This window comes from Homo sapiens, chromosome 3 (assembly GCF_000001405.40).
Source record: "Homo sapiens chromosome 3, GRCh38.p14 Primary Assembly".
Classification (NCBI taxonomy): domain Eukaryota; kingdom Metazoa; phylum Chordata; class Mammalia; order Primates; family Hominidae; genus Homo; species Homo sapiens.
Genome location: NC_000003.12, coordinates 181845066 through 181860736, shown reverse-complemented (window position 1 = coordinate 181860736; position 15671 = coordinate 181845066). Strand labels below are relative to the sequence as shown.

General features: G+C 42.8%; 1 pseudogene, besides 2 other annotated features; it reads left to right on the top strand.

Moving 5' to 3' along the window:
- Positions 262–556: a silencer, noted in NCBI's record as "tiled region #859; HepG2 Repressive non-DNase unmatched - State 24:Quies". NCBI's record gives its function as "represses a minimal TATA promoter and a strong SV40 promoter by Sharpr-MPRA in HepG2 cells {active_cell/tissue: HepG2}" and the evidence as "EXISTENCE:reporter gene assay evidence [ECO:0000049][PMID:27701403]".
- Positions 11618–12239: an enhancer, noted in NCBI's record as "H3K4me1 hESC enhancer chr3:181566286-181566907 (GRCh37/hg19 assembly coordinates)". NCBI's record gives its function as "activates a minimal SCP1, AML or CMV promoter by ChIP-STARR-seq in naive H9 embryonic stem cells {active_cell/tissue: H9 hESC(naive)}" and the evidence as "EXISTENCE:reporter gene assay evidence [ECO:0000049][PMID:30033119]".
- PSMG3P2 (PSMG3 pseudogene 2) lies at positions 12852–13211 on the top strand (annotated as a pseudogene).

Below are 15671 nucleotides of genomic sequence, written 5' to 3'. Positions count from 1 at the left end.
CAAGGCGGAGGTTGCATTGAGCCAAGATCGTACCATTGCACTCTAGTCTGGGCAACAGAGTGAGACTTCATCTCAGAAAAAATTAAAATTAAAATTTAAAAAATGTAAAAAATAAATAAAAAAGAAGTTCAAGGTTCCTTCACTGCCGGATGTTCTTCCTTTCTCCCCACCCTTCTGCAGTCAATAGTTTCAATCCTGCTGGTTCATGGATGGCAAACAAACATTGTACCTTGGGTGAGGGGTACAGATAATTACCATAAAGGTGTTAAAGAAATGACAATGACAATATCCAGTACTTAGCCCTTGCCCTGGAACTATGCAAAGCAAATTACTCACTAACAGCCTATGAGGTATGCATTATTCCTACTCTTATTTCCTGGGTAAGTAATTTACCAAAGGTCAGAGCTCCTGGTAGGGGAGCTGAGACTTGAACTTGTTCTGGAGGCATGTGAATAAGTATTTTCCTTGTTATTAATGACAGGGCTTCAATGCCATGCCAAAATTTGAATTTTATTTTGTGAGCAATGATGGGTCAGGCTTTACTCGGAGGAGGGAGGATCCTGACTCTATTTGGGGACTAGCTCACAGTCACATTTCTCCAAAACACTGGATGCATTTAGGGTCACAAGGCAAGATACAACTGGGAAGTTACTTGGAACCAGATCCCAGGAAATTGTCCTTTACTTGGGAAGAAATAAAAGGGCGTCTGAACAGTAAGTGACACAACCAGTTAAATATTAGTCATCTATTCTGTGACTTCCCCAGGTACTTGGTAATATGGTATAGCTGCATGAATTTAAACAATTACTCCTGCTTTCCACCAGTTTATGGTCTAGTGAGGGAGGTAAGGCACACACGTTTAAACACAAATGAGGCAGAACTTGACAAAAGTCAAATCAATCCAACAGAAATGTGCCAAATTCACCCCGGAGTAGGCAGGAAGGTGAAAGGCTTGGAGGCTGGGCTGAAAGGTTGGCGATTCAGCCCCCAGGCCACAGGCTCCTTTCACTGTCAGTAAATACTAATTGAAGATAATGAAGGCCTTTATCACCTCTTCACCAAAAATCTGCATTCTCATTCATATTAACTTTTCCAGGGAACCAGAAATCTCTGGCTCAAAATATTTCCCTCAAACCACTCTATCTTATTTGCATTAAATTAACTCCAGCTACTCCAGGCCGACTTCACCCAGTCTTGGCCTCCTCCACATTCAAGGTGCTAAAATGTATTAAAATTGTCATCTGCAAAATGCTGAAGAAAGATTAAAGCTCTATGGGATTTTTTTTTTGTTTTGTAAAGACAGTCTGAGTATGTTGCCCAGGCTGGCCTTGAACTTCCTAAGTGCTGGGATTACAGGCGTGAACCTGTAAGGAAACTGAATTGCCAAACTGAGTTTGATTGAATTTGAAACCAAGGTAGACTTTAGAATCATATATCTCACTTTTTAGTAAAATTTATGCTTAACAGTTTTGTTTTGATTTTGCCTGATTACAAAAGTAATGCAATGAAAAAATGCAGCGTATTCTAGAGAATAAGTTATCTATGACCCCACCCTCCGAAGATAACCACTGTTAGCAGTATGTATATGTATCACTTCTTAGTTCTGACTAATTTTAGATCCTAGATAAGAGGATAAACAGATAACGTTAATCCACACATATAAGCAAATAAACAACACATGCTATTTTGCATTTTTCTCACCAGCTCCAGCAGTCCCGCTTAACTGCGGTTTTGCTTTCAATGGTTTCAGGTAAATATGGTAGAATAAGGTATTTTCAGAGTGAGAGAGGAAAAGAGAGGAACACATTCACATAACTTTTATTACAGTATATTATTATTTATTCTATTTTTTGGAGGGGGAAGGGAGACAGAGTCTCACTTTGTCACCCAGGCTGGAGTGCAGTGGCATGATCTTGGCTCACCGCAACCTCCGCCTTCTGGGTTCAAGTGATTCTCCTGCCTCAGCCTCCTGAGTAGCTGGGACTACAGGCATGCAACACCACACATGGCTAACTTTTGTATTTTTTGGTAGAGACAGGGTTTCACCATGTTGGCCAGGCTGGTCTTGAACTCCTGACCTTGCCTGCCTTGGCCTGCCAGAGTGCTGGGATTACAGGCATGAACCACCACGCCCTGCCTTATTTGTCCTATTTTATTAGTAGTTATTATTATTAATCTCCTCTTGTGCCTAATTTATAAATTAAACTTTATTGTAGATATGAATCTGTAGGAAAAAATAAAATGTATATGGAGTTCACTACTATCCAAGGTTTCAGGCATCCACTAGGGGTCTTGGAACATATCCACGTCAAATAAGGGGGGACAACTGTATGTAGATTTCACTCATTTTAACTCTCAGATAGTATCATACAGTATTCTAGTATGTATATACTTTTTTTTTTTTTTTTGAGATAGAGTCTCACTCTGTCACTCAGGCTAGAGTGCAGTGGCACAATCTCAGCTCACTGCAACTTCTGCCTCCCGGGTTCAAGCAATTCTCCTGCCTCACCCTCCCGAGTAGCTGGGACTAGGGGCACGTGCCACCATGCCCAGCTAATTTTTTTGTGTGTGTATTTTTACTAGAGACAAGGTTTCACTGTGTTAGCCAGGATGGTCTTGATCTCCTGACCTCGTTATCTGCCCCCCTCAGCCTTCCAAAGTGCTGGGATTACAGGCGTAAGCCACCGTGCCCAGCCAACTCTATTTTTAAAATAAAATTCCACAAAAATAGATCATTATTTTCCTTCAGCTGTTTACTCACATATAAACTTACTTTTTTTTTTTTTTTTTGGGACAGGGTCTTGCTCTGTCACCCATGCTAGAGTGCAGTGGTGGAATCATGGCACACTATATCGTTGAACTCCTGAGCTCGAACAATCCTCCCTCCTCAGCCTCCTAAGTAATTGGTATTACAGGGTGCACCACTACGCCCAGCTAATTTTTAAATTATTTTTAAAGACGGAGTTTCCTATGCTGCCCAGGCTGGTCTTGAACTCCCAGACTGAAGTGATCCTCCCACCTCAGCCTCCCAAAGTGCTGGGATTGCAGGTGTGAGCCACAGAGCCCGGCCTACTTATTTATTACTACTACAAAAATATACTAAGGCCAGGCACGGTGGCTCACACCTGTAATCCCAGCACTTTGGGAGGCCGAGGCAGGTGGATCACAAGATTGGGAGTTCGAGACCAGCCTGGCCAATATAGTGAAACTCCGTCTCTACTAAAAATACAAAAATTAGCCGGGAGTGGTGGCGGGTGCCTGTAATCCCAGCTACTCAGGGAAGCTGAGGTATGAGAATCCCTTGAACCTGGGAGGCCGAGGTTGCAGTGAGCCGTGATCGCGCCACTGCACTCCAGCCTGGACGACAGAGCGAGACTCCATCTCAAAAAAAAAAAAAAATTATACACACACACACACACACACACACACACACTATGTTTAACATCCTTGTACATATGTTTTTGCACACTTGTGCTAACAATTTTATAGAATAATTTCCTAGAAGAACTGCACAAAGAATGCCAATTTTTTTTTTCTGGAGACGAAGTCTCCCTCTGTCACCCAGGCTGGAGTGCAGTGGCATGATCCCAGGTCACTGCAACCTTCGCTTCCTGAGTTCAAGCGATTCTCCTACCTCAGCCTCCTGAGTAGCTGGGACTACAGGCACGTCCCACAATGCCCAGCTAATATATTTTTTTGAAATGGAGTCTCACTCTGTTGCCCAGGCTGGAGTGCAGTGGCGCGATCTTGGCTCACTGCAACCCCTGGTTCACGCAATTCCCCTGCCTCAGCCTCCCAAGTACCTGGGATTACAGGTGCATGCTACCATGCCCGGCTATTTTTTTTGTATTTTTAGTAGACATAGGGTTTCACCATATTGGCCAGGCTAGTCTCAAACTCCTGACCTCAGGCAATTTGCTTGCCTTGGCCTCCCAAAGTGCTGGGATTACAGGTGTGAAGCACTGCACCCAGCCAGAATGCCTACATTTTAATCTGAATCTGTATTGCCAGCTTTCCCTCTCAAGGTAGCACCAAGTCCATCCCAATTTGAGTGGATAAAAATGCCTCCACCCCCTCACTGCACCAGGTATTATCAACCAGTTTACTAAGGAGTCACATTAACTAGACCAATCAATTCACTCTAGAAGGATGAGGACGAATAGTGGGCATTTCAGAAATATTCTTGTTGCTGAGGCTCCAGGGGGCCAAAAGTTTAATAAGAGCAACCAGGTATTTTCACAGAAGAAGAAAACACATCATTTTCTACTCCTTTTACCCCCTACACAAAATAAAAACAAAACAGAAACAGTATATTAATAAGTGCCATCCTGTATCTGTATCATTTATAATGTGTAGACTCAGGTTGTGAGGATATGAGTCAAAATCCAGGCATCAGATTGAGAAAAGTCAGAGAAAATCGATGAATGCGTTTAGTTTTAGGTAGGAAGCTAAAGAAGTGAAAGTCCTAGATACATGCAGAAATGATTGTCTATGGAAAGTGATAATGTCCTAATGTGGAGAGATTAATTTGGAAATTTCTTCACCTCAACTGAAGAATTTACAGTGCTTTAAAAACTTATATCAGGGGCCACTACATAGAATACATTGTTCTCAGACAGAGTAAGTACTTTTGTGGTTAGGTAAGGCAGTGCTAGAAACTCTCAAGAGCAGCTTTCTCTGGGAAATCACACTTGCTTCTAACAAGAGCTGTGGCTGTGAGCCACCAACACTGCAGGGACACTCATGCGCCTGGAGGTCCCTAGACAGCAGAAAGGAGGGAGTGACACCTTGGTCAATCCAGTACGAAAACTATGTTTGGGTGATGATGGCTCAGGCCCTGGCTGGCTTTGCAACCCTGGAGCAGCCACTTAACATCTCCAAACCTCTGTCAACTTTCTTGTAAAGACATCAGCAGGATGATTTCTAAGATGTTTTTCAGCTCTGAAAACTGTCAGATTGTAAACTAAAAGTACTGATTCACAAATGTTTGTGTGTTATCAGATTGACTTGGAGAGCTAATAAAGAGCACAGAGGATAGGATCTGGGCTCTGGTGAGTGTATCAAGTTCCCCAGGTGATTTTGATACTGACCAAAGGTTAAGAACCACTGAACTAGGGAAAGGATGAGAATCGGAGCATAGATTTTTGAAAATATATAACTGTTAGGAGAATTAGTGGGATGATACAGTAAAGTGTAAAGTGCTACTAAAATATTATGATTACTGTATTACCATAGGGCCTTATTTACCAAATGACTTTAATTCTGGAAATGATCAATTATCAATTATGGTCATGTCTTTGTCCATCTGTTAAAAAATGTCTCCATGGGCCAGGTGCAGTGGTTCATGCCTATAATCCCAGCACTTTGGAAGGCCAAGGCAAGCGGATCACTTGAGCCAGGGAGTTTGAGACCAGCCTGGACAACATAGTGAAATCTCGTCTCTGTTAAAAATACAAAAATTAGCCAGGCATGGTGGCAGGCGCCTGCAATCCCAGCTACTCTGCAGGCTGAGGCACAAGAATTGCTTGAACCCTGGAGGTGGAGGTTGCAGTGAGCCGAGATCATGCCACTGCACTCCAGCCTGGGCGACAGAGCCAGAGGAAGACTCCATCTCAAAAAAAAAAAAAAAAAAAAGAGAGAGAGAGAGACTCCTGACAGTAAACAGATCAGTGGTCACCAGGGATTAGAGGGGAGGGAATGATGAATAGGCAGAGCACAGAGGATTTCCAGAGCAGTGAAAATACTCTGTATGACTGGGATAGTGGAAATCATTATACATTTGTCCAAACCCATAGCATATACAGTACTAAGGGTGAGCCCTAATGTAAACTGTGGACTTTGGGTAATAATGGTGTGTCAGTGTAGGTTCACCAATTGTAATAAATGTACCACTCTGGTGGGGAATGTTGATAACAGAGGAGGCTATGCATGTGCGGGGCAGGAGTATGTTGAAAATCTTTGTACCTTCCTCTCAATCTTGACATAAGCCTAATACTGCTCTAAAAAATAATGTCTTGACCAGGTGCGGTGGCTCACACCTGTAATCCCAGCACTTTGGGAGGCCAAAGTGGGAGGATCGCTTGAGCTAAAGATTTTGAGACCAGCCTAGGCAATATGGTGAGACCTCATTTCTTTTCTTTTCTTTTCTTTTCTTTTCTTTTCTTTTCTTTTTTTGAGAGAAATCTTGCTCTTAACCCCCAGGTGTGAGTGCAATGGCTTGATTTTGGCCCACTGCAACCTCCGCCTCCCGGTTTCAAACGATTCTCCGGCCTCTGCCTCCCAAATAGCCGGGATTAACCACGCCCGGCTAATTTTTGTATTTTTTTTTTTTTAGTAGAGACGGGGTTTCACCATGTTGGCCAGGCTGGAGTGAGACCTCATTTCTACAAATTTTTTTTTTAAAGTTAGCCAGGTGTGGTAGTGCATACAGTCCCAGCTACTCGGGAGGCTGAGGTGGGAGGATTGCCTGAGCCTGGGAGGTTGCAGTGAGCCATGATCGGCCCACTGCATTCCTGCCTGAGCAAGAGAACAAAATGCTTTCTCCAAAAAAAAAAAAAAAAAAGAAGTTTGGAAAACATCTTAATAAGTGTTCTTGCCACAAATAAATAGTATGTGAAGTTATGCATATGTTAATTAGCTTAATTTATCCATTCCACAATGTATACCTATTTCAAAACATCATGTTGTACACTATAAACTACACAATATTTATTTTTCAATTATAAATAAATAAATATTTTAAAAAGTGTCTCCTTCGTTGGGAAAACCCACACCAGTCTCGTTGACTTTCTGGCCTTGTGATCAGTCTCCAGCATTCTAGCTCCTTGTTTCAGATGTGGTACATGTCTCTCCACTGCTAAGGACACTAATACTAACTCTTTCATGAGGTTCCTCATTTTAAAGCTTTCAAAGCACTTGCAGATTCATTTCATTTGATTTCACACTCATCCAATAGGGTGAGCAGAACAAGTATCACTATATCCATTTTGGGATGATAATTTTTCAGGCACACAGGTACTTCTTAGAAACACTGCGCCCTGGACTATAAGCCACTTGAGTTTAGGTGCTGATGTCTTGCTCACTGTTGTGTGCTTATCTCTGAGGATAGAAGAGTTCAGAGTAGATGTTGATAAGTATTAAATATAGATATTAAATTCTGCCACTCATTTCCTAAAAATGCTGAATTTTGACCTCAGCAAGGATAATACATCTCCTGTTCATCTCCACCAGAACTTATGGTTCAAAAGGGCAGAGATTTTTTACCTCATTTGTTCACTGCTCTATCCCAAATACCTTGAACGCTGTCTGACTCATATTAGGTACTCAATAATTACTTTTTAAAATAAGCAAATATGCTTGAATCTTTAATGCCTAACCCAGAGCCTGGGCCAGAAATATGCTTACTAAGTGTGTGCTGGGCCAGGTACGGTGGCTCACGCCTGTAATCCCAGCACTTTGGGAGGCTGAGGAGGGCAGATCACCTGAGGTTGGGAGTTTGAGACCAGCCTGACCAACATGGAGAAACCCCATCTCTACTAAAATTACAAAAAAAAAAAAAAAAATTGTCTGGGCGTAGTGGCGCATGCCTGTAATCCCAGCAACTTGGGAGGCTGAGGCAGGAGAATCTCTTGAACCTGGGACGCAGAGGTTGCAGTCAGCCAAGATCGCACCATTGCACTCCAGCCTGGACAACGAGAGGGAAACTCCGTCCCAAAAAAAAAAAAAAAAAAACTGTGTGATGAATGAAATACTCTAAGGGAAGAGAAAAGAGGGGAAATTTAAATATCAAAGCTAATAAAATCAAATTGTCTCATCTATAGTAGACTATCAAATGAATTTCTATTATAAGATGCTACCGAATCACCAACAAAATGACCATTTGATTTTTTCTTTTTTTTTGAGATGGAGTTTCACTCTTGTGGCCTGAGCTGGAGTGCAATGGTGCGATCTCAGCTCACTGCAACCTCCGCCTCCCAGGTTCAAGCAATTCTCCTGCCTCAGTCTCCCAAGTAGCTGGGATTACAGGTGCGCGCCACCATGCCTGGCTAATTTTTGGTATTTTTAGTAGAAACAGGGTTTCACCATGTTAGCTGGGCTGGTCTTAAGCTCCTGACCTCAGGTGATCCACCCACCTTGGACTCCCAAAGTGCTGGGATTATAGGCGTGAGCCACCACGCCCAGCCAATCGTTTGATGTTTTAAACATGTATACACATTTCTTTGGTTGAAAAGAACAGATTTTAAAACATGTATGTTTTTTTGAAAGGTAAGTGAAAAAGCAGCTTAGAATTAAGTAAAATAAAATACATGCATTTAGGCCGGGCGCGGTGGCTCAGGCCTGTAATCCAGCAGTATGGGAGGCCGAGGCGGGTGGATTACGAGGTCAGGAGTTCGAGACCAGCCTGGCCAAGATGGTGAAGCCCCATCTCTACTAAAACTACAAAAATTAGCCAGGCGCGGTGGTCAGAGCCTGTAATCCCAACTACTTGGGAAGCTGAGGCAGGAGAATCACTTGAACCCAGGTGGCAGAGGTTGCAGTGAGCCGAGATCGCACTGCTGCGCTCCAGCCTGGGAGGCAAACTGAAACTCATCTCAAAAAACAACAAAAAAATACGTGTATTTAAAAAAGACTGGGAAGGTTCATTATGTCTGGATAAATAAGGTTTTTATTTTAAAAAGTGAAGTTATTAATTTAAATACAGACAGGGTTTCACCATGTTGCCCAGGCTGGTCTTGAACTGCTGAGCTCAAGCCATCTGCCGACCTCAGCCCCCAGAGTGCTGGGATTACAGACATGAGCCACTTTGTCCATCCAATAAATTAGTTAATGGCCGATTTTTATGTTCTTTTCTTATCCATACTTTCTGAATTTTCTATGCTACACATTCATGGCTTTTATAATGAGAAAAGAGTGAATACAAAAGAAAAATACATAGAAGGGAATATATTAAATACATAGAAGGAAATACATTAAAATTCAAACAATCATTTAATGGAATGGTGAGGACGTGGATTATAATTTTAAAAAGTATTGTCTATTTTTAAATGTTCTTGAATTATTTGCATTACTTATATGAAAAATTTGACATTGGAAACTTGCAAGAATCTAATTTGCTGTGCAGTCTGAGATACACTCTACAAAGTCAAATATTTGTGAGTAACTTGAAGCACACACCAAGTGTCAAGTTTTGAAAAGGGAAACTTTCACAGGTTATCAGCCAAAAACGTAAGTTGTGACTTCCCAGAAAATCTCAGGAACTTTTACCTATAGGCACCAAAATATGCCCCAGAGGGCTCCTAAAGGAGTAGGGAGTGGGGGTGGGGGCCCAGTGGGGGAGCTGCTGTGGATTCTTTAGTATTCACCTATAACTTCTTTGGCAGCAATGATTGATGGATGATATATAATTAATTTCACTTGACAAGCATAAAGGAAAAATTTCCCCGAGCCACTGTAACCTGAGCTAATGAAACCCTATTTAACCAAGGGTGTGTATTTAGACTGGATCTTACCTTAGTGACTTAGCCATTAGTAGGAATTCATTGTTTACCTTTAGGATTCTTATCAGTACTTAGACTCTGTTTGCATGTGATTTTCACCAGATTGCTCAACATACTCGGCGTTATACGATTTGGAAATAAGTGAAAACATTGCAAGATCACAAAAAGCTAATCTCAACTATCTAATCTCCTTAAAACTTTATGATTTTCTCTTCTCTTTCAGGATGTATTATGGTATTCTCTGGAAAGATTCTGTGAACAAGCAAGACACCTGTTTCAGGTCTTGTTAAATACCAGGTCTTTCCATTTCCTTTAAGCCTTTCAGAGATTTAGGCCATGTCATCATACCTGATCACTTCATACCTGAACCCCACAAGGGCAGCAGCATCCTCCGGTGTCTACTACCCGTGAGACCCCCTCTAGAGAAAGTTCCAGAAAACAAGATGAGTTCAAAGAGTTCATAAGGAACTTTTGGGGGAAGCTACAACTATTATTAGTTAACACTGAACAGGGAGCCAGGAGATCTAGATTCTTGTTGTATTTGCCCTGTTCATATGACTTTGGACAAACCACTCATCTTTTAGGAACCTTCATTTCCTCATTTATATTGAAGACAATTGAAGTAAAGGACCTCTAAAGTCTGTTTCAGTTTGAAAATTCTCTGTCTCAGAAGAAATCCCTTATGAAGATCAGCAGCAGGAGGGCCTGGGGTGGATTGGTGGGCCCTTCCTTCACAGTAAGAGAAATAGGAACTCAGGCAGGGTCTAAGTCTCTGGGGAATTTTGAGTTACTCTCATCCAATTCTGCACTTGAAAAACTGAGAAGTGAGACTGTGGATTCAACACTCCTGATACCCTTTTGAAATCAAAGGCCTGGCTGCATCAGGTGAGTTGGCATTTGTCTTTCTCCTGGATAATTGGAGCTATGCTTTTATTTCCATGGGGAAAAAAACAAAAAAAAACAAAACTCATAGCCATAGCCTTGCCATGCAGAAGTATTCATGAATAATTAGGGGACAGTGATAGCTGAACAACAAAAGAGTTGGTTCTGTGAGCCCTCAAATTTTGGCAGCCTTGGGAACACTCCAAATGGAGGCCTGGTCTAGGACTGCTGTAATGTCATCCAGGGCCTGGGGTGTGCTACACCCCATCACCGCCTTCATTTACCCCCACCCAGATGACCCTGCCATCTGTCAGGTGTGCTCACAAGAGGTGGCACAAATCTGTGGATGGGGAGAAGGTAGCACTCTGGCAGCAGCCTCCTCCTGCCTCCCTGCCTGGGAGCCATGTGGCAGTTTTCTTCTCTTTGACATCCAGGCTGAAGAAGGTTTTAGCCTTCATTTCTACACATCTACCGTTGCTGGGCAGCTTACCTCCCTCCCTCAGCCTTGCTTGGGACCCCTGGCTCCCTGCCTTCTGCACTCTGCCACCATTTTGGGTACCTCAGAGGCACATGCTAGAGTCAGGCCCTGTTTCCCTTTTCTGCCTCCTCCAAAAGGATAGTGCTATGTTATTTTTCAGCTCAAAATTCCACACTCACTCTATTTTCTAGTAAACAAAAATTTGAAATTTTTAGCCCAACCGTCAATGTTCCTTATTACCAACATTGCCTTTTGCCCACTCTACACACACACACACACACACACACACACACACACACACACTAACATTCACACATAAACACACTGTCTACCTTTGCAGAGCTCATTTATGTTGCGAAGTTCAGCTTTAATGACTCTTTCCCTGGGAAATCTACCCAATATCTTTCAGCCTAAAATATTCTCTCCTCTGAACTCTTATAGCTTTCTGGTTCCTCCGTTGGAGATATTCAGCACTTTCTTTCTTTGTGTTTTTTTTTTTGTTGTTGTTGTTGTTTGTTTGTTTGCTTGCTTTTTTGAGACAGAGTCTTGTTCTGTCGCCCAGGCTAGAGTGCAGTGGCCTGATGTCAGCTCACTGCACCTCCGCCTCCCGATCTCCTGCCTCAGCCTCCTGAGTAGCTGGGATTACAGGCGCCCACCACCAAGTCCAGCTAATTTTTGTATTTTTAGTAGAGACAAGGTTTCACCATATTGGCCAGGCTGGTCTCGAACTCCTGACCTCAAGGGGTCCACCTGACTTGGCCTCCCAAAGGATTTATAGGTGTGAGCCACCACACCTGGCCTGATATTCAGCACTATCTAACTAAAATCACAGTTATTTTCTTCTCTACTAGGTTGTAGGTTTCTTTTCTACTAGGTTGTAGGCTTCTCAAAAGACAAATTACACAAAGATAAAACAATTACCTATATTTTATCTTTGTGTATTTGTAGCAGAGTATACGCTACTTGGCTGGGTGTGGTGGCTCACACCTCTAGTCCCAGCACTTGGGGAGGCTGAGGTAGGAGGATCACTTGAGGTCAGGAGTTCAAAACCAGCCTGATCAACATAGCAGAGCCATGTCTCTACAAAAAAATAAAAATAAAAAATAAAAAAAGCTAGGTATAGTAGCATGTGCCTGTAGTCTCAGCTACTGGGGAGGCTGAGGCAGGAGGATCCCTTGAGCCCAAGAGGTTGAGGCTGCAGTGTGCCATGATTGTGCACTGTACTCCAGCTTTGGCAACAGAGTGAGACCGTGTCTCTAAAATATGTGTGTGTGTGTGTGTGTCTGTGTGTGTGTGTGTGTGTCTGTGTGCGCGCTACATAGTAGGTTCTTAAAGACTGCTCAATGAATGAAGAACAGAGGTCAACCAGATACTACAGACTAGTTTTTACATACCTCTGTGTTGCTAAGGTGAATGCAGATTTGAGTACCAGAAATTGGAATCCACAACTTAAAAATAATACAGTTCTCCTTTTTAAAGTGCAAATTTCTTTCCAATAAAGGATAAACCTTTTTTTTTTTTTTTATGACAGAGTTTTACTTTTGTAGTCCAGGCTGGGGTGCAGTGGCACCATCTGGACTCACTGCAACCTCTCCATCCCAGGTTGAAGTGATTCTCATGCCTCAGCCTCTGGAGTAGCTGGGACTACAGGCTATTCCTGACCTCAGGTGATCAGCCCACCTTGGCCTCCCAAACTGCTGGGATTACAGGCATGAGCCACCACGCCTAGCCAGATAAACTGTTCTTCACAAATCAAGATGCCACATCTAAGTCACTTACTTCTGTCATACTCTCATGATAACCTAAGAACACCCATGGACCAACCCTCTCCCCAGAAAAATGCACATGTACACATCCAGACAAATACGTACAATTTTATATTTTTATTGAGTAACAATTTCAAACTTACAAAAAGTTGCAAAAATAAAAATAGCATTAGGAACATCCACAGACTGGTGTGGTATGGGTGCAGTTGCCATTAAAGAGACTCAGCCATGGAAGGCAAACCATTGGTGAAACAGGTAAAGTAGTGGGTGGGGTCCCACCAATGTGGTGTGCACAGCCTTCAGCAGTCACATCCTGGAGATGGTGACCCAGTTCAGGAAGGTGGGTACGCTGATCTCCCTAGAGCCCAGAAATGTAGCCTCAGTGACATCAACAAACCAGTACTCACCACAAAATCTCCTTCTCAGCCAGGATAAGCCTCTCATCCATGTCTTTGCAAAGAAACTGGTGCATTTGTGTCTCAAGAAGCCAGAAACAAAGTGGTCCTCCCAGCTATGGCCATGAATAACAAAAGCATGGAGTGAATGAAGGTCTTGAAGGAGGTGATCTGGGTGTGCCAGGTGTGGTGACCTGGAGGCAGTAGTCACGCGCTGTCAGCAGGATGTGTGGAGACTCAGACATCCACTCAGTGACTCAAAGACCCTCCTTCCCTCACAGTCAGAGGGAAGCACTTTCTCTGGCTCTAGCCTTTGAAGGCAGAAAATATATTCATGTCTCAGGCAGACTCTTACTCTCTTTAGTTACTAATATAATCTACGAATAGAGGAAGAAGTGGAACATGTCTCAGGGGAATGAATAGTAACTGGTTCTCACTGGGATTCAAATAGCTGCTTATATTTAAGAATTGGGCCAGGTGCAGTGACTCACACATGTAATTCCTGCACTTTGGGAGGCCAAGGCAGGCGGATCACCTGAGGTCAGGAGTTCAAGACCAGCCTGACCAACATGATGAAACCCTGTCTCTACTAAAAATACAATTAGCTGGGCATGGTGGTGGGAGCCTGTAATCCCAGCTACTCCAGAGGCTGAGGCAGGAGAATCACTTGAACCAGGGAGGCAAAGTTTGCCGTGAGCCAAGATCGCACCATTGCACTTCAGCCTGGGTGAAAAGAGTGAAACTCCATCTCAAAGAAAAAGAATTGAAACAACGAACCAGCAGGCATGACGCATGACCCTCAATCTCAATTGTAGGAGTACATTTCTTTTTTTTTATTAAACATAAATATGTGTTCCCCCTTTCCCAAAAAATAAAGAAACATCTGCTGGGCATGGTAGCTTGTGCCTGTAGTCCTAGCTACTTGAGAGGCTGAGGCAGGAGGATCTCTTGAGCCCAGGAGTCCGAGGCTGGAGTGACTACAAAGCCAGACCCTGTCTCTTAAAAAAAAAAAAGAAAGAAGTTTTCATGTATCCTTTACCAGATTCACCTATTAACATCATTTGTTTTATGATTTTATTCCTCTGGCTTGCCCATTCTCACTCTGTGTGTGTGTGCGTGTGTGTGTGTATATGAGTGTGTATCTGTGTGTATAAAACTTTTTCCCAAAGAATATGAGGGTAGTTGCATATATTAGCTATTTACCCCAAAATATTTTGATGACTATTTCCCAAGAATAGGATATTCTCTTATGTCATCATAAGAGACATAAATTTCATAAATTTATATGCTTTTTTGTTTTTTGTTTTTGTTTTGTTTTGTTTTTTTGAGATGGCGTTTCACTCTTGTTGCCCAAGCTGGAGTGCAATGGTGCAATCTTGGCTCACTGCAACCTCCACCTCCCGGGTTCAAGTGATTCTCCTGCCTCAGCCTCCCAAGTAGCTGGGATTACAGGTGCGCACTACCACGCCCGGCTAATTTTTTTGTATTTTTAGTAGAAACGGGGTTTCACCATTTTAGCCAGCCTGGTCTTGAACTCCTGACCTCAGGTGATCTGCCTGCCTCAGCCTCTCAAACTGTTGGGATTACAGGCGTTAGTCACCACACCTGGTCTATATGCTTTTATCTAATTCGCCATCTCTATTCCAATTTTGTCAGTTGACTTAGTGATATCTTTCATAGCATTGATTTTTTCCTCCCATACAGGATCCAGTCATAAGGACAGAGTCCCCATGATGGGATTAGTGTCTTTATAAGAAGAGGAAGAGAGCCAGCCCTCTTTCCTTCCACCAAGTCAGAATACAATGAGAAGATGGCTACCTGTAACCCAGGAGGAGTGCTTTCACCAGAACCTGGTTATCCTGGCACCCCGATCTTGGTCTTCTATCCCCCAGATTGTGAGAAATCAATGTTTATTGTTTAAGCCACCTCAGTCTGGTATTTCATTACAGCAGCCCAAGTGACTAAGACGGTCCTCTTCCCCGCTTATGAATAATGTAATAAAACCAGGCACAGTGGCTCTCTACCTATAAATCACAGCACTTCAGGGGCCAAGGCAGGAGGATTACTTGAGCCCAGGAGTTCATGACCAGCCCGAGCAACAAAGTGAGACCCCCATCTTTACCAAAAAAAAAAAAAAATAGCCTGACATGCTGGTGGCTACCTGTAGTCCCAGGTACTCAGGAGGCTGAGGTGGGAGGATTGCTTGAGCCCTGGAGATCAAGGTTGCAGTGAGCCATGATTATGCCACTGCACTCTAGCCTGGGTGACAGAGTGGCACCCTGTCTCAATAATAATAATAATAATAATAATAATAATAATAATAATGTAATACTGGTGAGATAGGGCAATTTTTGCCCCAGGATCTAAAAGGAAGTAATGCCCTGTGGGAGCGCTCAACCATAGTTTTTGGTTTAGATTGGGTTGCATGCAACCTTAGGCAAACATCTAAATCTCTCTGTACATCAGTATCAGCATCTTTAAACAGGGATAATAATGCCACCTAAATTATAATGTTGTGAAGATTAAAGAATCAATACAAGTAAAGTGCTTAGAAAAGTGCCAGCACATAGCAAGCACTATATATAGATAGAATATAAGCTCCATGAGGTCAAGGATTTTACTTCCTGATATATTCGCACTGCCTGGAAGAGCG